Source organism: Homo sapiens, chromosome 12 (genome assembly GCF_000001405.40).
Source record: "Homo sapiens chromosome 12, GRCh38.p14 Primary Assembly".
In the NCBI taxonomy this organism is placed as follows: Eukaryota; Metazoa; Chordata; class Mammalia; order Primates; family Hominidae; genus Homo; species Homo sapiens.
In genome coordinates, this window is record NC_000012.12 from 61738952 (window position 1) to 61763335 (window position 24384).

General features: G+C 36.2%; 1 protein-coding gene across 6 annotated transcripts in view; it reads right to left on the bottom strand.

The window, feature by feature from the left end:
- The window catches only part of TAFA2 (TAFA chemokine like family member 2), a 551762-nt gene that overhangs the window by 30679 nt on the left and 496699 nt on the right, over nucleotides 1-24384 (bottom strand). For all 6 annotated transcript variants that reach the window (XM_024448962.2, XM_047428774.1, XM_047428773.1 and 3 more), the window contains 2 exons: nucleotides 15921-16073; nucleotides 14671-14795 (listed from right to left, as the gene is read on the bottom strand). In XM_024448962.2, the coding sequence (XP_024304730.1) occupies nucleotides 14671-14795; nucleotides 15921-16073 (278 nt within the window). The remainder of the gene's footprint in view (nucleotides 1-14670; nucleotides 14796-15920; nucleotides 16074-24384) is intronic.

Below are 24384 nucleotides of genomic sequence, written 5' to 3' on the forward strand. Positions count from 1 at the left end.
CCCATTTTATTAGCCTATTAACAACTTGCTTATCTGTTTTAGTTAACAAGCACATATAGCCCTTATACTTGGCCAGAAACTGTTTTAAGTGTGTTACATATATAAACTAATTTAATCCATGTGAGAAATCTATGTGGCAGATATATTATTGTCATCATCTCCCAGATGTGGAAACTGAGGAGTATTGATGTAAAGTAACTTTCCCAAGACCACCAGCTAATACATGGCAGTTGGGATATGAACTCAAGTAATGATTCCAGAGACTGGGTTCTTAATCATTATGCCATCCTTGAAGGCACCAGCAGTGCTCTGTAAACTGTGCAATGTTGAGGTAACATTGCACAGTTACCTCAAATGGTTATGGTGGGTGAAATGGAGAATCAAAAATTACCTGATACACCTTGACAATGTCTCCATCTGTCACTAATTTCAGTAACCTCAGAAAGGCTAAACCCTTAGTGAGACATCAACAGTACTACAGAAAATAATTCTATTATGATCTGTAGACATTTTTAATCAACTTATATAAACAATTTTGTTTCATGTTATGAATATTTATCTTTACCTTCAGTATCATATAGTGATGTGAAACAGTTTTACTGAATAGGATCTCCTTAGACCATTACGTAGGTACAACGTGAATTATTTTAAAGTTACCATTAACAGCTTTTATCATAATTTCCCTTATTCATAAGGGAATTCACTTAAAACCCATCTAAGAAGTCCTCAAAGCTATAATCTGGAGGCAGAGTGCTCTCAACAAGTTGATTTCATTTGTGAAATTTAATCTCAAACAATAGTTGGACTGTCTGGCCAGACATTTGCCTTCGGTAATCTCACAAATCAATCATATGTTGTAATTGAAGTTGGGGGTTGAGATTTCTAATCATGATAGTTGTTTAGATTATCCTGACTGTCGGCCAATGTGTCTGAGAATATTCAATTTGATTTCTTTCAAGATAGAATAAATGCATCTCAGTATATGAATCTTAGAAACAGGCTGACCAAATCAACTCTCCTCACAATTACTCAAACAGCCTTTTCAAATATAGAGTATTTTAAAGTTGCAAAGCAAAGATTGCATTCAATTTGCAAGCATTCTTTGAAAATAAATTTACACTGCCTGATATTACCCAGTTTCTCTTTCTCTTTCTCTGTCTCTCTACCATCCTTCTCCCTGCCCTCACCAGTTTTCTTTTAACAGGACCAAGAAGAGAACAGAAAATGCAATGTAAGTGTAAAATATGTTTGTCCCATCATTCTCAGCAAACACAGGAACAGAAAACCAAAACACCACATGTTCTCACTCATAAGTGGGAGTTGAACAATGAGAACACATGGACACAGGGGTGGGGGGGAATATCACACACCGGAGCCTGTCAGAGTTGGGAGGCAAGGGGTGGGAGAGCATTAGGAGAAATACCTAATGTAGATGATGGGTTAATGGGTGCAGCAAACCACCGTGGCACGTGTATACCTATGTACAAACCTGCACGTTCTGCACATGTATCCCACAACTTAAAGTCTAAAAAAAAAAAGTCTAAAAACAAATAAAAAAATAGACACTGGAGACTCAGAAGGATGGGAAGGTGGGAGGGGAGTGAAGGATGAAAAGTGGCTTAATAGGTACAATGTACATTATTCAGAAAATGATTACACTAAAAGCCCAGACTTCATCATTATTTGAAATACTCATGTAAAAAAACTCACTTGTAGCACTTAAATTTATATAAATAAGCAAATTTTTTAGATGCAAAAAAAAAGTTTGTCACCAGAAGAGAATAAGCAATAAAATATAAAGGTAAAATAGCCAATGGTAAGCAGAACCTCAACAAAATAATCCTTTATTGACTTTAGGCTAATCCTACCATAAATCATGGGAAGCCAACATTGCTACTTAATAGGAAAAAAAAAAATGCCATAATACTGAACCATGAGAGCAAAGCATATATTTAACAGCTAAATAACTCATGTTAAACAAGTTCAATATTAAACATTATAATAAATAGAATTCTATGGCTTAGTATAAGCTATATGTATTATTTTTTGTTTTAATTTGGCAATTTGAGTTTTATATCTTAGATCACATTTCAACTGAATGGCTGATTTTGCTAAAACTAATATACATTACTTCAAAATTTTTAAAGTGTTTTATCAGCTTAAAACATTAAAAATATGTGCAATGGTATCAGGTTCCAATATTCTTATTCGCTCGTGGGAATCTTAAATTATTTTCAATTTAATTAGAGTTATTAGTGTAGCCCCAATTTTTTATATGCAAATTATCTCCCTTCCCCTGTCTCTCCTCTCTCTCTGCTCTGTGTGTGTGTGTGAGTGTGTGTGTGTGTGTGTATGTGTCTCCATCTCTCTTGCATGTGTGTGTATATATATTTACATGCATACACACACACACATATATATGTGTATGAAGATAGTCTAGTTGAGAAAGCATTTTATTGAATTTTGTTCTATTATGATAGTACTATACAGATATAAAGGCAAGAAAAAAATTCAGTTCAATCTTGACATCATGGAATATAATATTTAGATTCTGTTAGATTGCATTTAGTTGCTATATACTAAGGAGACAAATTATAGGTAAATTGCCCTTGAATGGCATCACAATCTGGTATCATTGAGTGTTAGAAGAGTTATGGGCCATGCAATATTAAACTGCCAATGTGCTTTCGTGGCACTTACACAAACTTCTGTCCTGCCACTTCTGTACATGACAATGATTTACTGACTTTCTATCCAATTGACTGTGAACTTGTGAACTCTTGGACAGCAAAGAGTCATAATTTTTAAAAAATCTGAATCCCCAAAATCTAGCACAATGTCTGGCACATACCCACATAGAGTACATTCGATTTATCTTCACAGAGTGAATGAATGAATGAACAGACAAGCTTCCTTTAAACAGAGTTTGTTAATTCTGCTAAGGAGATTCATATTTATTCTTTTAGACAGAGTCTCACTCTGTCACCCAGGTTGGAGTGCGATGGTGAAATCTCAGCTCACTGTAGCCTCCACCTCCTGGGTTCAAGCAATTCTCATGCCTCAGCCTCCCGAGGCCGGGACTGCAAGCATGTGCCACCATACCTGGCTAATTTTTGCATTTTTAGTAGAGATTGGGTTTCACCATGTTGGCCTGGCTGGTCTCGAACATCTGGCCTCAAGAGATCCGTCTGCTTCTGCCTCCCAAAGTGCTGGGATTACAGGCATGAGCCACTGTGCCCAGCCCATATTTATTCTTATTTTTAAAGTACTTTAAACAGTGCATTCTGTTTTAAATGGATGTATATTCTGCAGTGTTTACAATGTGTTAACAATGACATCATCCAACTAGCAGGCAAGTTTTAGGATTATAATAAAACAAGTAATGTTCATCTAATGGACAAGAACTCAGTATTTCTTGTAAATCCCACATTCAGAAAGAGACATAAAGCCACATAACCTGTCTGTAGGTTCCATATCCTTGTATCAATTGAAAGCCCTGGATCCCTGGAACTCTATTTCTGCATTCCCCCAGACTCTGGTCTTTCTTGGTTTTCTGTCTATTTCTCTGTCTACACTTTTTGTTCCTTACAGGTACTTTCTTCCACATTAGTTGTTAAAATGTCTTTGACGCTCTTCTTTTTCTATGCATTTCTTTTGAGAGAGCATTCTTGATTAACTATTTCAATACCACCTAGGGAATAATAATTTCCAGATTTCTATCTTGACCTCTAGAGCTATATATCAAATTATCCTCCAGATATCTCTACCTCATAGTCTCATTAGCAATTACTATTGCAACAATAAGTCAAGCAAGAAATATGTAAGAAGTATGTGAGTCTGAATTTTTCCTTTCATTTACTTTTCATGTTCAATTAATTACCAAGCCCTATCAATTCCCTTCCCTCTGCACCCACACTACCATCACCTCCCTACCTTACTTCAGGCCCATTAACTCATACCTCCTTCAATTCTGTTGACCCATTGCAGCCAAATAGACATTATGAAGTATAAATCAGACCCTTCTCCTCTCCTGCTTGATTAAGGTTCTTCGATGATTCACCACTGCATGGAGAAAAAATCCAAATCTTTTAACATGGTATTTAAAAGCCCATCATGATACAAACTCAACCTGCCATGATTCCCCTCACAGGGATTCCTCATTACATACTTCCCCTCACACACATTGTTACCCCATGAAATGGTTTCAATTCCATGAGTAAGATATGATCTTCTATTCCGTCATGCCTTCATATAAGCTGTTTTTTGTTTTGATAGCTTGATGTAGACAACTCTGCGAATTTCTGTTCATCCCTTAAAAGTCACAAATATATGCCATCCTAAAATGAGGAAATTACTGTTTCTTAAGGCAGCCCATTCAATGTCATCTAGAGTTGACACTGAGAAAGTTATTACTATAGCCTTAGTTGTATTCCTTGTAGTCACACAGAACAAATCTACATTTTTTTCTTTCACATGCTATATCATCAAATAATTTAACGCATATTGCTCCTAGTGCTTTAATTCCCTGAGGTAAATCTCCACAAAATCCTTTACATTTGCCTCTTTTCTTCTACCCCATTAAAAGTTGGTATCCAGGACTTTCTTGACCACATCCAGATGAGGTCTGATCACTCTAAAGTAAAGCTCAACACCACCCTTTATATTAGGTGCACTTCACAAACAACTCTCCACTACTCACAGGTGAAGTGACAAGTCCTGAACAGCCTTGCAGGGAGCTAGAAATCCTGAACTTGTGGGAACATTATGTGTTATTTCTCAGCTGCATCTTCACCCCACTCTCCAGAGTAAGAAAATAAAATTGGATCTGAAGTCATTGATTACAAGAGTTAAATTTCACATAAAACGTGTGATGGACACAGGAGGGAAAGAGCCATGGGAGAACGTACATAGGAAAGATTATCCATATTTTTTAATAGGAGGTTTGCCACTCACAGTAGAGGAAAAAAGCACAGAAGCACCACTAACTATGGCTTCTTGAACATACCTTTCTATTCCCCAAGTCCTACGAGGTGCCATTTTTCTTTTATTAAGCCATTTTAGTAACCAAAACCAGGTAAAAGTGTTGCCTCTCCCAGGAATGCTTACCTTTAAACAAATATCAAGGTCTTAAACATTAGATATAAAGCCCTGACAGAATTTTATCTATCAGCCCTCAGGTAAGAGACAGAAATATTGCTCTCGCCACTTAGTTCATAGAACAGAAGCAGTCGCCTAAAGATGTACCTTGCAGTTGTAAATGAAATTCTATGGTGCTCAAACTGGTCCTATTACAATATGTGAACATTCACAATTAACTGTAAGATTATAAGCACAACATTTGGAGTAACATCTACAGATTAACACCTGGCTCAAATATTGCAGAAGCATCTACATCTTAGAGGAACTTAAAAGCACACATATATCGCCCATTTCTCATTTCAATTACAAAAATACAGGCCAAGTTTTGGACATAGAGCCGGATGATATATTTTTTTGCATTATTTTTCAATAACTCTTTAAACAAATACCAAGGTAGACACTCTTGGCCCTATTAAATTATATTTAATTAAGTAATCAGCTCTTAAATTTAAAATATCAGGTTTAAAATGTTACTTTCTTTTGAGACAGAGTCTCATTCTGTTGTCTAGGCTAGAGTTCAGTGGCACAATCATGGCTTACTGCAGCCTCAACCTCCTAGGATCAAGCAACTTTCCTGCCTCAGCCTTCCAAGTAGCTGGGGGTACAGGTGAATGCCACCACATCTGCCTAATTTTTGTTTTTTACAGACTGGGTCTCACTATGTTGCCCATGTTGGTCTTTAACTCTTGGCCTCAAGCAATCCTCCCACCTCCCACCTCAGCTTCCCAGAGTGCTGGAAACCTCTGCACCTAGTCTAAAAATGTTACTTTTACTAATGCTACTTCATGGACACCTAGCTTAGTGTCCTGTCTACCTTGAACTCAATATCTAATTAAAGAAAAAGATTGCCTTAATATATTAATCCATTTTGTCCAAATCTCTTTAAAACTTAACATTAGTATAGTGACTACATGCTCCCTTAAGTGTTATGTTTCACATCTCCATATCATTTGAGTTTAAATATTATTTAATATAAATATCACTTAGTTTCTGAATCTCTCATTACTATAGAAAAAAGTCTACCTACTCTTCTTCAGAAATATCAAATTTAAGGTGTTATACCATATTTAGTTTTTCATTAAGTTAAACGACCTAAATTTAGTAGTTATTAATGTAAAACATAAAACTTGCTCTTCCCACAGTTCTCTCCATCTCACATAATGGCAAATCCCTCATTCTATTTGTTTAGGACAAAAGTTTAAGTCAGTTGTGACATTACTCATGTTGCCTTTCTAACCTTAATTCTACCACTTGCCCTAGTTCACTCCACTCCAGCCACAAGCATCATTTCTACCCCTTGAATATGATTTGCCCAGCAAAGCTCTCATCTCAGGTACTTTCACTTCTTCCCTCTGCCTGGATAGCTTGTCCTCCATTTAGCCATGTAGCTCATGCCCTCACCTCCCAAGACCTCAATCAACTATGCAAACTCCCTTGCTCAGCAACACTCCCCACTTCCCTTCCCTGCTTAATTTTCTTCCCATGGCATCTATCAACATCCAACATACTATATATTTACTTACTTATTTTGTTTATTTTTTTGTATCCTCCCATGTGGTATGCAGAATTCCAAAGATATACTCCCGAGATTTTCATCCCTTGATTATTCAAACAAACACTAATCTAAGCACTGCTATACAGAGATTCTGCAGATGTAATTATGGTTGCTAATCAGCTGATGTTAAGAGAGGGAGATTACCCTGGACTATCTAGGAGGACACAATGTAATCATCTGTACCCCGAAAAGGCAGAGAAAGCCAAAAGAGCCCACAAGAGAAATGCAGTGGAAGAGGAAGAAAGGGAACAGATGGGGGAAGGGGAAGTCAAAGAGCTTCAGAGCATGAGACAGACTCAACATGCCATTGCTGGTTTGAGGTGAAGGAGGAAATATGATTAGAATGACAGGCACCCTGAATAAGGCCAGAGAGCCTCCTGATGATGGCTACCTTGGTAATATGGTTTAGTTGTGTCCCCACCCAAAATCTCACCTTGAATTGTAATCCCTATAATCCCCACATGTCAAGGGTGAGGCCAGGTAGAGGTAAGTGGATCATGAGGCTAGTTTCCCCCATGCTGTTCTCATGATAGTGAGTGAGTCTCATGAGATCTGATGGTTTTATAAGCATCTGGCATTTCCCTTGCTTGCACTCACTCCATCCTGCCGCCCTGTGAAGAAGGTACCTGCTTTTCCTTTGCCTTGTGCCATGATTGTAAGTTTCCTGAGGCCTCCCCAGCAATGTGGAACTGTGAGTCAATTAACCCTCCTTCCTTTATAAATTACCCAGTCTCAGGTATTTCTTCATAGCAGTGTGAGAATGAACTAATACACAAAGAAACAGTCACCTCAGTCCTACATTTGCAAACAAACAAATTCTAACAATAGCCTGAATGAGCTTGGAAGTGGATTCTCCCCAAAGTCTCTGGAAAGAAACAAAGCCCTGTTGTGAAAAGGTGAAACATATCCCTTAATTTCAGTCTTGTGAAACCCAGAGCAGAGACCCACCTGAGCTACACTGTGCCTGGACATCTGACCTAAAGATAATTACTGGATATTGTATTAAGTCATTAAATTTGTGGTAATTTGCTATGGCAGCAATAAAAAGATGAATATACCCTATTAGATTACAGGCCTGATGAAGGCAGGGATTTTCATCCAGTTTGTTTTGTTTTGTTTTGTTTTCAGTGCTCTGACCAGAATTCAGAATAGAATCTGACAATAGGAGGCAATAAAGACTTTTTGAATACAGCATACATATTCTTTCTCACAAAATCTGTATTTCACAAAGTCTTTTGAAGAGCTTCTGCACAGCAAAAGAAACTACCATCAGAGTGAACAGGCAACCTACAAAATGGGAGAAAATTTTCACCACCTACTCATCTGACAAAGGGCTAATATCCAGAATCTACAATGAGCTCAAACAAATTTACAAGAAAAAAACAAACAACCCCATCAAAAAGTGGGCAAAGGATATGAACAGACACTTCTCAAAAGAAGACATTTATGCAGCCAAAAAACACATGAAAAAGTGCTCATCACTGGCCATCAGAGAAATGCAAATCAAGACCACAATGAGATACCATCTCACACCAGTTAGAATGGCGATCATTAAAAAGTCAGGAAACAACAGGTGCTGGAGAGGATGTGGAGAAATAGGAACACTTTTACACTGTTGGTGGGACTGTAAACTAGTTCAACCATTGTGGAAGTCAGTGTGGCGATTCCTCAGGGATCTATAACTGGAAATACCATTTGACCCAGCTATCCCATTACTGGGTATATACCCAAAGGATTATAAATCATGCTGCTATAAAGACACATGCACACGTATGTTTATTGCGGCATTATTCACGATAGCAAAGACTTGGAACCAACCCAAATGTCCAACAATGATAGACTGGATTAAGAAAATGTGGCACATATACACCATGGAATACTATGCAGCCATAAAAAATGATGAGTTCATGTCCTTTGTAGGGACATGGATGAAACTGGAAATCATCATTCTCAGTAAACTATGGCAAGAACAAAAAACCAAACACCGCATATTCTCACTCATAGGTGGGAATTGAACAATGAGATCACATGGACACAGGAAGGGGAATATCACACTCTGGGGACTGTTGTGGGGTGGGGGGAGCGGGGAGGGATAGCACTGGGAGATATACCTAATGCTAGATGACGAGTTAGTGGGTGCAGCACACCAGCATGGCACGTGTATACATATGTAACTAACCTGCACATTGTGCACATGTACCCTAAAACTTAAAAGTATAATAATAATAAAAAAGAAAAAAAAAAGAAATTTTTAGCCCAAAAATGTTGCATAAAAATATTTAAAATTAAAATGTGGAAGGTAAGTTGTTTTGAAAGCTCTTCATTCAGTAGTTTGTTTCTCTTCAAGTTAGCAGCGGCTATCAGTTCTATGAATTGGACATAGGAAACAGTCAAATACCACTTCCTAAAGCAGTGTTTTTCAATCTACAGGTTGCAACACATAAACAGGTGATAACAGCAATTTATGAGGTTGAGATCATCAGAAGGAAGGAAAGGAGGAAGGGAGGGAGGGAGAGAGGGAGGGAAGATAATAAAATCAAAACATTATAATGCAACCTTAATTTTAATGTAGCATACATGAGTGTGCATATGCATGTTGTGTGTGTAGTAGATCACTAAGTAAGATGTATTTCTTACTGTGAGTTGCATTAAAATAATTAGAAAAACGCTAAAGGTCATTACAGTCTGTGCTGTGGACCAGAATGTAATTTAGGGCCTGACTGGAAGTGAGATGAAGACAAATGAATGGGGATGTGTCTGTTAAGAAAGAGCTGATCAAGAAAGAACCACACTATTCTAAACCTGTACTTAAATTTGCAAGGCTAGAGAGAGCATGATGATTGAAGAATTTACACGAATTGCACCACCTTAAGGTAAGGAAATGAACTTTTTTCCTCTTGCTGTGTACATCATTTCCCATGGGTCTGAATTAGCACCCCTGGACACTGTTTAGATCCACCAGCAGAGCAGAGTCACTGAGATTTGGTATGAAATCCAAATGGAAGAGTACAACCTGAGGCTTTAATCAGCAAAGCATCACAAGATGCTATTTCTTTTCTTCCTTACAGTGAAAGGATTAAAAACCTAATACTTATCTATCTTCTGAGATTTTCAGTTATTACTGTCATTTAAATGTAGCTGGAAAGGAAGTTAGAAATCTTCTTGTCACATGGAACCCAAGAATAAACCTTGGTTAGAGAAATTTGAAATTGAATCTAGCACAACTTCCTCATTCTTATGCTATTCTATTGTTACAATATTACTCTTAACTTATATTTACCACTGATTCCAGTGTTTGTTGTCAATAGACTGCATATGGGTAAAGGAAAGAATAATGTGGTTGGGTGTGGTCGCTCACACCTGTAATCTCAGCACTTTGGGAGTCCAAGGTGGGCGGATCACTTGAGGCCAGGAGTCAGAGACCAGCCTGGGCAGCACAGCAAAACCCCGTTGTTACTAAAAATAAAAAAAAAAAAAAATAGCTGGGTGTGGTGGGGCATGCCAGTAATCCTAGCTACTTGGGAGGCTAAGGCATGAGAATCGCTTGAACTCAAGAGGTGGAGGTTGCAGTGAGCTAAGACTGTGCCACTGCACTCCAGCCTGAGCAGCAGAGTAAGACTTTGTCTCAAAAAAAGGAGAAAAAAAGAAAAGAATAACATAACTGTACACTACTCATTCCTCCATTCAATGGCATACTCCTTGTGGGCTTGGATCAAGCCATGCATTCTCTTTAGTATCTACTATGGTTGGGTAAATTGAATAAGATAATACCTGCAATGTACTCAGCAGAGTGCCCAGATCACAGTAAGAGCTAAGTAAATGCTTCTGTATTTGCTTTTGTTGTTTTAATTCTAATATGAGTACTATTAATATAAAATGTGCTGCATAGGAAATTCTTAATATATTTTGATTTTCATTGCATTATACAATAAAATAATATCATAATGCATACCTTTAAAATCAACTTATATTTGAAGGAACATTTAAAAATTACAGAGCTCTTATCTGCTCAAGCCACTTTAAATAAATGCATAAAGTGAAAGATTTCAATTAGTTAAAAATTAGCCAGAAAATTTCTTCTTAAGTATATGAAAAGTCAATAGACCTGGGACATATGATTCATAAAGGTAATCTTCCTAAAAACAATGTAAAGTCTTATATAATACGAAGTTAGGTAAGAGACCAAGTTTCTCTAACCTGATCCTTAGGTAAGAATCAACATTAAAAACTGCACTGACCACTGTATTTTGTAGCTTGGTGTCCATACCATTAGGCAAGGACTATAAATCCTAAAAACAGAATATTATTTCCTTTAGATCTTCCACGAAGAAAGAATATCAAAACACCCCACACACACACACACACACACAGAATCACAGTCTGTTTTTTTCCGATGATTTCAACCATGTTAAATATTTTCTTTTCTTATATTTTACAAGCTCTGCAGCATCTTTCCCCCCTGTTACTTTTGTGTTGTATAATTAGCTTATAATTATGCACTCTTTCACACTGGAAAGATGATTCTTTTATTAATGACCCTTTGAAAAGTTCTTTATTTGTCTTTGAAAGTGAGTTTGAAATCAAAAGGCTTGAATGACTTTTCCTTTCCTTCTGTTTAACTTAGGAGATCTTAAAAGTAATAAAAGAGACGGTTATAGATGTCACAGAAAGTCATAAATTTTCCACCTTTAGACTGAGAAATGGGGTTTGGGAAACAACTGTTGCATCTTCCACTCTTTCCAAATTAAATGCTTGGGTGTGTGAAGAACAGGTATGCAACAAAACACTCAAGTTCCAAAAATGACTGTCTATTCTTTACCTTTTCCCCCTGTTAGCACCAATAGGAAATGGGTCAGAACCAAAAAAATTCCAGAATCCGATAGAAAAACAGAAGAAGAGTATAATTCACATTTGTAGTAAGTACAATATAGGCTCAAAATTAGTCTTAAGTGGAAAAATCACTCAGACCCTGATTTGTAGTCAATTCGGGAAGGTGCCACTCATCTCTGCTGAGGCCATGCAAGCCTTATTACTATTTCTGGCTGACTGCTATTTATTTAACAGGCTTACCCAAGCACTCCAGATTGGCTATGGGCCATTATAAGGGAGAGTGTACATTATTGCATATTTTAATTATTTCTCAAGCCATTTTGCTTGCAGTGATAATCCCATAAGACCAACATATCTTGCATAAGCAAAGCAAATAGCTTTTGGCTGAGACAGCTCTTGAGTTATTTTGTAACCTATTCCTACATAACTTCTGGCCTTTCCAATTGTGGCTGGGACCTGCCAAATCAGGAGTTCAATGGCTTTTTGGCTCATGGTGATCACAACCACATTATTGAAAACAGACATATGGACAGTAATACCAATGATTAAAATAATGACTCAAATTTGTTTTCAAAAGTAGTGCTATTTATGCATGATGGAAACACTTCTTCTATCTGCCTCTATTCAACATTTCCTCTATCCAACACTTCCACTGTGGGCAAAGTAACACATGCCTAGAGCTATTTTAAGAATTTTTCTTATCGCCTCCAATCTTTTCACTATTTCAGTGGAGATGGCTGAGCAATAATAGCCTGATGACCTTGAAAACTTTTTGCTTCATTTGTAGCACCAGGGAAATTTGCCCAAATTGTTTGGTGGGCCAAACTAAATTGCACATTTTTGCCTTTCTATTTGGAATGCCATAGTGTTCCTTTGGTTGAAAATGTCTAAGTAGCTCCATTTTCACAAGCAGCATTTTTCTTGTGAAAGAATAAAAGGATAAGAATTTACTTTGGTTGTACTCAAGAAGCTCCTTCTTTCAAGTCTTTCTCTCTCCTCTTATATATGATGATTTTTCTTTTCAAAATGGGAGTGACAGACTCTTAGAAATAGAGGGTATCTTAAAAGAAACTAAATCTAAACACCTACTGTTGTATGAAAACCCTCTATAATGTCTTAAATAAGGTCCTCCATTACCAGCTATTCTTTGGGACAAAAGAGATTAAAGAAAAATAGAAAGTGCTATCCTCTATATAGAGGATAATGTCTTATAACTAAAACAAATTATAGGATGTAGATGTGATTTTCCCTACTCATGAGTTCTCAGTCTCTCATCCACCTTGTTTCATTACATTTGGAAGAATTTGTGAAGCAGACACTCCATTTTAAATTTGGGTCATTGAGAATATGGTCAACAGGCCAAAAGGGAGTAAAACAGCACTTCCAAATTTTTTTTTTTCCATGAGAATTTAGACTGCATGGTCTTGACCTTTTCATTTCAATGATCCAGAAAGTTAGAGATATTTTTAAAGGTCGACCTCTTAAGAAAAGAACTATACGATATTTTTACCATTATTGCTTAAGAATAAGTTAAATTATTAGTACAAAGTACAGGTTAAAAGATTGGGTTTTGGAATGGAACTACATGTTTTGAAACCTGGCTTCCTAATTAATTAGCTATATGTCCTTGGGAAGTTACATAACATTTGGAAGTTTTGGTTTACTCATCTGTAAAAGGAGATAATAACACTATCTTCTCCACTGGGCTATTAGGAAGATTAAGTGAGCTAACTCATGTAAAGCATTTTGTTCAGTGTATGGCATATGTTTTAAGTATACAATAAATAATAGCTTCCCCTTGTTCACTGAAGTAATAAAAACAAAGAATTTGGTTGTCAAGAGCTCACAATTTTAAAAATTTGTTTCAGAATCTCAAAACGTTAATGAATTTCCTTAAGTCCTGTTTTTGGACTGAGAATTAATAGTGCTAGGGAAAATATTTTCATGGTATAAATAGCTTATAAGGAAAATTTACATTGCCAGAATGTTTTTAACAAATTAATACGGATTATATCATGTGCTAGCTCACTGAATAATATAATTATCCTAACTAATTGATCATGCATCCAATGGGTTTTGAAAAGGTGTGACACTTAGCTAACAGGTTAGAGTCAAGAAAAATTTCATGAAATATGTTTTTATTCATGCCATTTGAAACTTAGTCACTTCTGTGTATGTCTGATCAGTCAATGTATTAAATATATTACTTGGCAGACTAAATTACATATCTAGATGAGATCATAAAATAAGCCTCTTGTATATGTCTGGACAAGGTTTAAAAGTCTGCTATATCAAGTAGTATTGTAAATTAGCCAGTCTCTACTTTTATGTTACTTTTTATAAAACATCAATTTATACCATTACTCTGTTCTATTCTTCAAATATTCAACTCTAATTTATAGTATGCTTTTCCTAAAAGCAAAACAAAACAAAACCTTCCTTTGCTAATTCTATAAAGAAAAGAATTCAAATTCTGCCAGTCTGGAATACCCATGTGGCAAATTAGGAAATCAAAGAACAAAGCTATTTTTCAGTTCTCTACCATCACCGAGAGGTCAGTAATTACAAAGCTGAAATACATCAGTGTCTTAAGAATATTCTTTTTGTATTGATCTTGAGAATCTGAAACTCTTCCTAGTAGCCCATTACAATAATTGTAAATCTTAACCACTAGAAAACTATTTAATGATTCAGATATCAGGGAGATCAAAATAATTACTTTCATAAAACTAAAAGAATCTCAGTTAAAAAACTGTATTAAAAGTAATATATAAAATAATGTTTTCAGAATTTATTTAGATTACTATACATTAGAAAAATAAAGGATTGGGGTCACCCTCCCAGAATTTAACATGCATCCTCAGTGGGGAAAGGAGGTTCACATTACCCTCAGTATTTTATGAAGGAGCAAACAGTGTTTATTGATCAGATAATATGACAGTTGATGGTACTCTATGGAAGATGTTGTTCTGAGTGAAATAAAAATGTTTTATGAAAAAAGCGAACTAAGAAAAAAATGGGGAAAACATATCTTGCAAAACTATACTCTTCCATTCCACAATTGCCACTTAAATTGGTTACTGCACAAGCTCCGTTCTCTATTAATTCAGAGACATTCTGTTTTCCCAAGCTTGCTGTCCACTTACCCTAGTTGTTTTGACTTTATTCCCAGAGGAACAGCTCCATCCTTTCCGATCCGGAAGAACTTTACATTCTTCTCCCTCTAGACATGGCTGCATATGGCACCACCATTTCTGTTCCACTATTGAAGCTATAAGAGAGAAAAAAAATTGACTCAACATTTTTTTCTTGGGACTTATTTCTCTTGTTCACCTTTAAAGAGGAACAAAAGCCACTAATTTTTCCTACCAGTGGGAATACAGGTATTTGAGGTATGCCTTTCTTTTTGTTCAAAAGGACAAAACCTTTCAAGATTTTCTAACTAAAATAATTTTCTTTAAAACATTTTTTATTTTATTGTAATGAGAACACTTAACATGAGATCTATCCACTTAATAAAATTGTAAGTGTAGAATGCAGTATAGTTAACTATAGACACAATATTACAGGATTTTCATGTGAAAATAGACTTCATGAAAGCTAAGATATTGAAAATAAACTATGCAAATGTGTATATGCACCAATTTATATAAATATATAAGAAAATGGACCTATGACCAGTTTTTAGAGTCAACACTTTATAATCAATATAATATTCCCATGAATAAGATGGTTATCAGGAGGGTGTTTATCAGAGTTATCATAATTTTTTTAACTGTGTGCTATAACCTCATCACAAGCAATATATTATAGTAATATGAGCACTTAACAAATTACTATTTATGGTAACATCAACTAAATAAATGCATATAAAGATTTATGTCCTACTATAATTAGGTGAACCCTCAAGGAAAAAAATTAATATATTATTGCATCATCATAAAAGTTGATATTTTATGTTAATTCTATCCACAACTAAATGTTCACTCATATACATGGTGCTATTTTTTTTAATTCTTAAGAATATCCATGGGTTTAAGAACCCATAATATTAAATCATCCATTTTCATCTTTCCTTTTCCAATTAATTTACACATAATCCACCTCCCACCATCCACCGAGAAATCAACATTTCATGGTATCAAAATAAGATGCACATTAATTTAATGGAACCTCATTATAATGCCTTTTGTAACAGAACTGCATAATATTTTAGACCTCTTTCCAGAGGATTTTAGATTTCAAAATGCCACCCAAATATTCTAGTTTCAACTTATCATGGTATTTGTAGTATGTTCACCCAGGATTGACCTCCCATTGAGAGCATTATAGTGGGGTTCTAGTTCTAAGCCATCCTTGGCTGTGCTGTTACAATAAGGAATGGAAGAAGTCACACCATCCACACATGATGGAGCAGCTCGCGTGGTGCCTGCCACCTGCCCAGGGAAGCAGGAGCACTTGACTGTTTGTGACCGTTCTTCTATCTTGTTCTTATTACAGCATCTGTGGAGTGCCACCACCTCACAAGTTCCCGTTTTAACATGGTGAGCTGCACAAACAAAAAAGATAAGACAACATTGAGAAAGCTTTGGACACTTCCCCCCACCCTTCTTTTTAATTAGCAGTACATTAAATATAGCTCTATAAGGGGTCCACCAGGCATGAAACGAGAAATACAATGATGCTAACTCCATAATGCAGATTTGATTTCTTTTCTAAATGTGGTAGGAACATTTCTGTCAGTGAATGCTTGGTAAAGCAGGAACAATTAGTGACTAGATTAGAATAAGCTGTTAAAAGTCTGATACAGAAGCAGTATGTGCCGTCATCAAAAACATTTATTTGCATATGACTTTTTAATGCCTTTTTGTTCAATGCATTAATCAAAGTAAAATAAACCTCTGGCCTAGGTACCCTGCAATGGGACTGAGGCCAGCCCCATTCTCAAAGTGGGTGGTTGCTGATAAAGCTTGTGTTCTTCTAGGGGAGAGTAAGAGGACTAGGCAGGAAGTGGAGGCAGACAGTGGGCACCCACATGCTCAGTATTCTTCTGCTCAGTTTCCCTGAAAATGAACAAATCCAGTGATTCTTGAAATTGCCACCATTTTTCTGGAAGATCCAACCAGTCCCAGAAGCCAGAGTCATTCCTTTCAATTTTGCCTGAGAGGGCAACTGTCACCAAATGGTACCATGAACTTGGATAATTCGTATCTGGCAGCCAATTGCCTGTAAACCCAGTCCAATAAGCTGTCAGGCTTCCATATTCATTTTGTCAACCTTGAATAAGGACACTAAGTGTGTTGGATTAATGAAAATTTTGGACCTTACTCATCATATTATGATAAGATTCTAGTTTGTCTTCATTATTTTTTTTCAGCATTTCTTCTTCAAATAGTAATCCTACTGTGAAAAGATAAAACTTTTGCCTGCTAAAATTAAAAACAGCTTAAAATCAAACATTTGTTAAAAGATTATGCTTTCAGTAATTTTAAAAGTGTAATTGTTATAAAAACAGATATTACAATGGAAAAGCAGGAGATCTTAAGTTGTTTAATGGCATAAACATAAGGAGACCCATTGCAAATGAGATCGGCACATCATACATTTATATTAATCTTCCCATTGAAGATGAGTGAAACCAATGTGCAATAAGTCAGGCTAAGTAGTTCGCTCAGATTTTTCTAAGACAGAGCAAATCACACATATTTCCTACCTCTTATCCTTCTGTGTGAGACCAAGAAACTCAAGTGTAACATACAGCTTTGACATATAATCCTCAATAGAACCTTCAAGAGGCAGATACCATTTCTGCCACTGTAGATATAAATTGGAATGTTTTCTGTGTTTGATTCAAACACAAATCTATCTCTATGAAAGCAAAAAAATAAGAGGCAGACTTCTGTCCCTATCTTCTCGTGCTCTGGGTGAATATTTTCTTAGCTAAGAATGAGTCCATTTGTTTTAATTTGCCAAATGGTTTATATTACATTATACACGTTAATATTCTGCCTTCTCTACATTTCTTTATTAGGTCACATTTTAAGCGAGTGAATACCACACATCAGCCATGGTCTTGAGTACTGGAAACACAGCAATGAATAAGGGACACAATCTGTTCCTGCCCTCAAAGAGCTTATGTTTCTGAGGAGAAAACAAATAATAAGCACCCACGGTAATAATTAAGGCAATGTTAGATTTTTAAGCTCCTTGAAGAAAATACAGTAGAGTAGAGTAGAGTAACATGATTCAGAGTAATTTTGTAGGAAGGGAATGCATATTTTTTCAAGTGTCACAGGAAACATCTCTCTTTGAGGAGATAATCCGAATCATGAGCTGAATAATGAGAAGGAAGTCTCTAATATGAAGATCTAAGAAAGGAGGAACAAATATTAGAGCAGCAAATAACAAGGTCATGAAGTAGGGGGAAGTGTGGTATATCCCCAGGGCAGCAAAGATGGCCAGGGTGGCTGGAGTGTGGCTAAACAATTGAAAGTTTGAGGGCAATGTATCAGAAACATAAGCAGATCATGGAAAGGCTGGTACACTATGGTAAGGAGATTGGATTTTATTCTTCCTGCATGGGAAATCTTTGGGTAGAAATAGTATTACATCATCTATCTATTAGAATTTTACTCATGCTGCTCTTTAGAGATTGGGATGAAGAAGGCAAGAGTGGAGACCAGTTATGAAGAGGTGTAGGAGTCTCTGTGATCAAGGATGAGACTTAGACTAGATTAACAACAGCAGAGATGGGGAGAAGTAGCAGCTTGGATATATTTCAGTGTAGAGTTGATTTGATTTACCAGTGGGTAGAATGTGCGTCATGAGGGAAAGAAGAATCAAGAATTACCCCTAAGCTTGGACTGAGCAATGAGAAGTTGATAGTTCTGATGGATAGAGAAGGCCTAGGAAAGAGGAATTTGTCAGAAGATGGATGAGGTTAGTATATCTGTACTTCTGTTGGGGCCATGTTAAGCTTAAAAGATACCAATGCAGAGATGGAAATCAAGCAACAACATTTATAAAATAAAGCTTAGGGGAGATATTTGGGCTACAGAGGCCGTCTTGAGTGATCTAAGCCTACAGATGGTATGTAAAGCCATGGACTGAACAAGATTACCACGGAAAAGGTTTCACCAATAGAAAAAGAAGAAAAAAGAACAGTCTAAAATCTAGATCTGGAATGGGAAGACAGCAAGAAGACCGATAAGGAGCTGCACAAAAGGAAAAAGATAAAGAAATGTGTGTGTGAAGGAATGAAGAAATAGAAGACAAAAGAATAAAAGGTTTCAAAAAGGAGAGATTGATCATCTATGTCAAATGCTGTTGAAAGGTCCAATTAAAAGAAGAGAAATAATTGTCCATTTAAAAAGTAATACAGTGTAGTGGCCAAGAGTATAGACTCCAAAGTCCGAGTACCTGGATTCGAATCTAAGTTCCTTCTAGTAACTACTTGATCTTGGTACGTTATCTATTATGCATGGGCAGCTGAGTTTTTCTCATGTCTAAAAGAGGGATATTAATAGCACAATCTTCATAGGATTAACTGAGGATTAAATGAGTCATGTATAAAGTGTTTAGGACACTGCCTCCCCGTAGCAGGCACTTCTGTAAGTGTTAGCTATTTCTATTGCTGTTAACATTTGATCTTGGTAAAAATCATGTTAGTGGCATGAAAAAAATAAAAGCATTATTGAAGTAAGTTTAGTAGAGAAGGAAAGGTAAGGTTGTTATAGTTATAAAAAGTCTTTCAAGGAGTTTTTCTGGGAAGGGAGAAAGGAAATGAAGCAAGAGCTGGAATGAATCATGGGGTCAAGGGAATTTTTTTAAACGGATGCTTTAAAAGGATGCTTGTTTGCTGGAGTGATCTAGTAGAGAGGGAAAATGACAACACAGGAGAGAAAATAGATCATTAACAAAGAATGTTCTTAAGAAAGAAAAGTAAATTGTGATCCAGGGCCCCTGGAGGGTTGACATTAGATTTGTGTGAGGACACAATCCATTTTAACAAGAGGAAGGTGGGATATGTAGGTACAGAGTCAGGTAGATGTGAGTGGATTCGGTGGTGAGAAGATAAGGTAGTTTCTTACCTGATTTCATCTATTTTTCCTAAGAAATATGGCAGCCCTTGGAGAAGAAAAAAAGAGGGTCTGAAATAGATACCTAAGAAAGAGTGAATTTACCAGGAAAGAGTGGTAGGAATACCAGGCAGGGAGTTAGCTGATGCACACTGTGAATTGCAGAGAACACAGCAGAATGGGAGATGGAGTGAGACTGCAGAGCAGAGTGGAGATAAACATCTCTAAGATGATAGATTTCTGGGGATGCTTGGACTTCTGAGAGTGATTTAGGGAACCAGGGATGTGAGTCATGATGAGATTACTCCTCTAAATCTCTGAATGGAAGCCAGGGAAAGATGATTAGGGCTTCTTCAGATAGTGACATCAGTAGGCAGATCACTAAGGTGAGATAGCTTCTGGGAGAACATTATGGTGGCTAGGGCTCTGTTCTCTTTCATGGTCCTATAACAGCCAGGAGCACATGGTGAGTTTCCCCTGATCTCTCCTCTGAGAAAAGAGGCACCATTCTAGCACCAAGGCCAGCTTCCTTCTGTATTTCAAGGAGATTTTATTATATGTTGAAAAAGAAAGGAGAAGTGAAAACTCATCTGTTTTCCATTTCCATACAAAATCAAAATTTATTTCTATTTTGCCTGACTAAATAAATAAGAGGACAAAGTAACTGTGGCATTCACTAGTCCTGTTGACCAAATATGTCTGGTTCTCTCCCTTCTGGACGAAGGTTGTACTGTACTTCACCACTCCATTTAATTTAGATATAAGGGCATGACGTGCTTTGTCTAGTGAAATGAAAGTTAAAGTAATATGGGCCACTTATGAGGAGAAACTAATATCAATTCTATATGGAAGCTTTAAGAGCTACTGTGTAATTCAGCATGTTTCTCCCCACCAGCCAGAGCAACGAATTATGTTGTTGATAGCGGAGGCCACATCAATCTGAATCCCCAACTGAAGAGACATGGAACCGACTCACCACCGATCATGATGGGCATATGAGTGAGAAACAAAGCCATGTTGTTATAAACCTCTAAAATTAGGATGTTCTTTGTTACTGCGACCAACTCAGCCTACTATAACTACAAGGTAATACTTTCACTGCTTCTCAGATTGTTCAGGAGGGTACACTTTCCAAATGTATTAGTCGGAGAATAAGTCAGGGAAGCATGATATCCCAAAGCCCAAGTCATCCTAGCTTATTTGAGTCAATGCAGAGTCAAGATGAAAAATAAAATATTTAAATATTTCTATAATGTGAGGGGTTCTGAGAAACTATTCTATAATGGGATAATGACATTGGGTAAGTTTGGCATGCCAGAGCTCTGGTGAAGAAAGTGTGCCTCTTTCTTCTTGGAAGAGAAAGGAAGTGAAATGATGATCACAGGGCACAATGGAGAGTAGGGAAAGAGAGGTATGCCCTCCTTCAGAGAGCATGATGCTAGATGTTAGGAGATTAATAGTAAAGTTGACCAGGAAGGGACAAATGGTAGCCTGATAGATGCAGGGCTTTCCTGCCCAGTGCTTTTTTTTTTTTTTTTCACTGCCTATGAACAAAATGTAGAAACATGTGGTAGTTTCCTGGTGAGAAATGAACTTTGTAAAAACCTCTCTCAGCCTTTGTCCTTCTTATTAAAACTGAAGGTGTAAAACTTTTTATGGGGAAGAGAAGAGAGGTAACCTTTTAAAAATAGAATAGATGATAGATACAGATAGCTAAATATATAAATGAAATAGATGATAGATAGATGATAGATAGATAATCTTGTGCTCAAAAACTTTGAAGGCATTGGCATTGGTAGGAAAAATATCAAAATATATATATATATATATGCGCCAGTAAATATGTCAAGTGAAGTGAGATACTTCAAAGAAGGAAATTAGCCTAGCAGGATTTGAACATGAAATATGTATGCATACGTTTAGTTTTCTTATTTGTCTGCTGTATATCTTAAAGTCTTGTTATGATAACCAAATTCTTGTAGACAAAGACTAATTTTTCATGTAAACTGCTCAGTATGTGGTATGTGTTTAATAAATGGTAAACAAGCAATTTAAAAAGATAAAACTAATTCCTGTGGTTTTTCTTTAAAAGGTTAATGAGACGGGAGGAAATTCAAGCAGTTACTAGAATTCTCTACACAGATTCAGACAGAGCTTGTGATAAACTAACCTAATTGAATATTAGTGCTTTCCAAATTAACAAAATAGGCTTCACAGAAGATCAGTTAGTATCATATTAAAATGATGCAAGACCCCCGGAGAAGATTTAAATGAAAAAGAACAAACAATTTTATTCATGTCACAATTCCCAAGTCACCAAAAAAAAAAAAAAAATTCTGAAATTTTTCCTCCATGGACGTGATGCATAAACACAAAGTATTCCCTCCTACTTTTTTGTGAAATGACAGCATAGACATATAGATTTCATTAAATTCTCATGAAACAGGGATACAAAGTCTTACCCAGCTCTAATTTCTGCCTTCCAAGGTTATGGCCCTTATGTCTCATTTCAACAATAGGACCTTTGGCTCTATGGTACCCCAGAAACACGGCCTTAGGATACTGCCTCTTAAATCATATCTTAGATTTCTAAATATTTTCTGAAGCTATTATGACTGGTATATTTTGAAACGAAGTCCCATAGGCATTTTACCAAAACCTCTGCTTCAAGCTGCTTTTTTGATGTAGTGAAAGAAACTTATTCATAAAAAAGAAAATCAAATTAAATGACATTTGACTTATACAGGCATAGATTTTTAAAAATTATACATAATAATATTCATTGCATTATATATACATAATATGGTCACATCTGATTGATCACTTGTGAACCAACCATAAATACATGGGTATGAAAATATGGGTTCACAGTAGAATAATATTTATGCAAATTATTCACCTTAAATAGTAGTTACTGGCCATAGCTTAATATGAGCACTAACTTATGTATATTACATTCTATATGTGAAAATAATTTATACACTCCATAAACCATTTATGAAATAATGGTGATTGCTAACATTGACTGAATATTTATTGTGTGATGAGCATTATTTCATTTTATCAATGCAATAACCACTGACAAGGAAACTATACCTCCAATTTGCAAGGGACACAGAAATGTTAAGAGACACAGAAATGTAAGTTGGCCAAGATAAAATACTGAGTAAGAAACAAAATTAGAGATAAGAATCCAGATAACTTACTTCCAGAAATCATGATCTTGACCATTATCTTATAATGCCTGATATGGTTTATATCTGTGTCCCCACTCAAATCCCATGCTGAAATGTAATCCCCAATGCTGAAGATGGGTCCTGGTGGAAGGTGATTGGATCATGGGGCAGTTCCTAATGGATTAGCACCATCCCCCTAGTCCTGTTCTTGTGAAAGAAATTTGGTTATTTAGAAGTGTGTAGCACCTCCCCTCTTGCTCTCTCTTCCTCCTGCTCTGGGCATGTGAGATGTCTCACTCCCCCTTTGCCTACTACCATGATTGATTGTAAGTTTCCTGCAGCCTCCCCAGAAGCCTAGCAGGTAGCCAGCATCATGCTTGCTGTACATCCTGTAGAACCATGAGCCAATTAAACCTCTTTTCTTTATAAATTACCCAGTCTCAGGTATTTCTTTCTAGCAGTGTGAGAACAGACCTTTCTATGCAAGAAAGACCTTTCTATGCCTTCCTGAAGTTCTAAACACATGCAGCAGACTCCAATTCCAGATTATGTGGAGGAATGCAGTAAGTGTATCACTGTCCTTACACATAGTGCTTGATAACCTTGAAAGAGCTTAGCTTGACCTATACTATATGTGAATAAACTCTAAAGCAAGTTTATTCCTTTTCCAAAGAATTGGTTTGTTCACCTCTAAAATGGCTTTCTAGAGTCTTTATGAAGACCAAATGAGATAATGTGTGTGAAGCTGCCTTTAAATTATATATTACTTAAATGTTAATTACCTTTATTTTTATGATTAGTGTAATTAACGAATATCAAAGTAATGCAATATGCATATAAGCTGCAAAGAAGTGGCTGTTAGGGGAAGTTATCTACATTCTATAGAAGTTCTAATTTCATTTTTTATATATATATATATATACATACACATACAGTTAATTGTGTTGACTTGAGATGCCTATAAAAAAATCAATCTGACATCAAATCTACAAAAGAGAGTAAATTTAGCGTCAAGTTGTGAATTTGTTCCTACTTGGTTTCCTCTACACTAGATTTCAGTTCTTATTTGCATTCTGATTTGTCTCATTGATTATGAAATTTTGTTTGTCTCTATATACTCCTATTTAATAGTTTACCCAGCCTGACTAGCTCCCTGGAGAATCTATATTGTACCTTCTAAGCAGAAATAAAGCATCACCTACATGCACCAATAGGCAACTGAAATGCGAGCTAGTTAGTGGATTTAGGTTGCTGTAAATCACTTTAAATTGAAAAAATGTGCTGAAACAAAACTTTCTGAGACAGCTAATTTCTCACTTTAATTCATTAGAATGGGAAAATAGCTCATATTTTTTAGACTTTCATGCTGAAGCAATCTAATTAACAGAAATAGTAATTTAAATAGCTCAATGAAATTTCAAAAGTTCTCATAATTTATGAAGTCAGGATGATCAGGAGGAAACAACCAAGTGCCGATGACATGTTTACAAATTCTGTTTTTTAAAACTGTTCCACTTTTATATGGAAAAAAGAAAATGAAATTTTGGGGTGGGAAAAGATTGCCACTAAAGAAAGGATAATATCCATAAAATTTCAATTTAACAGT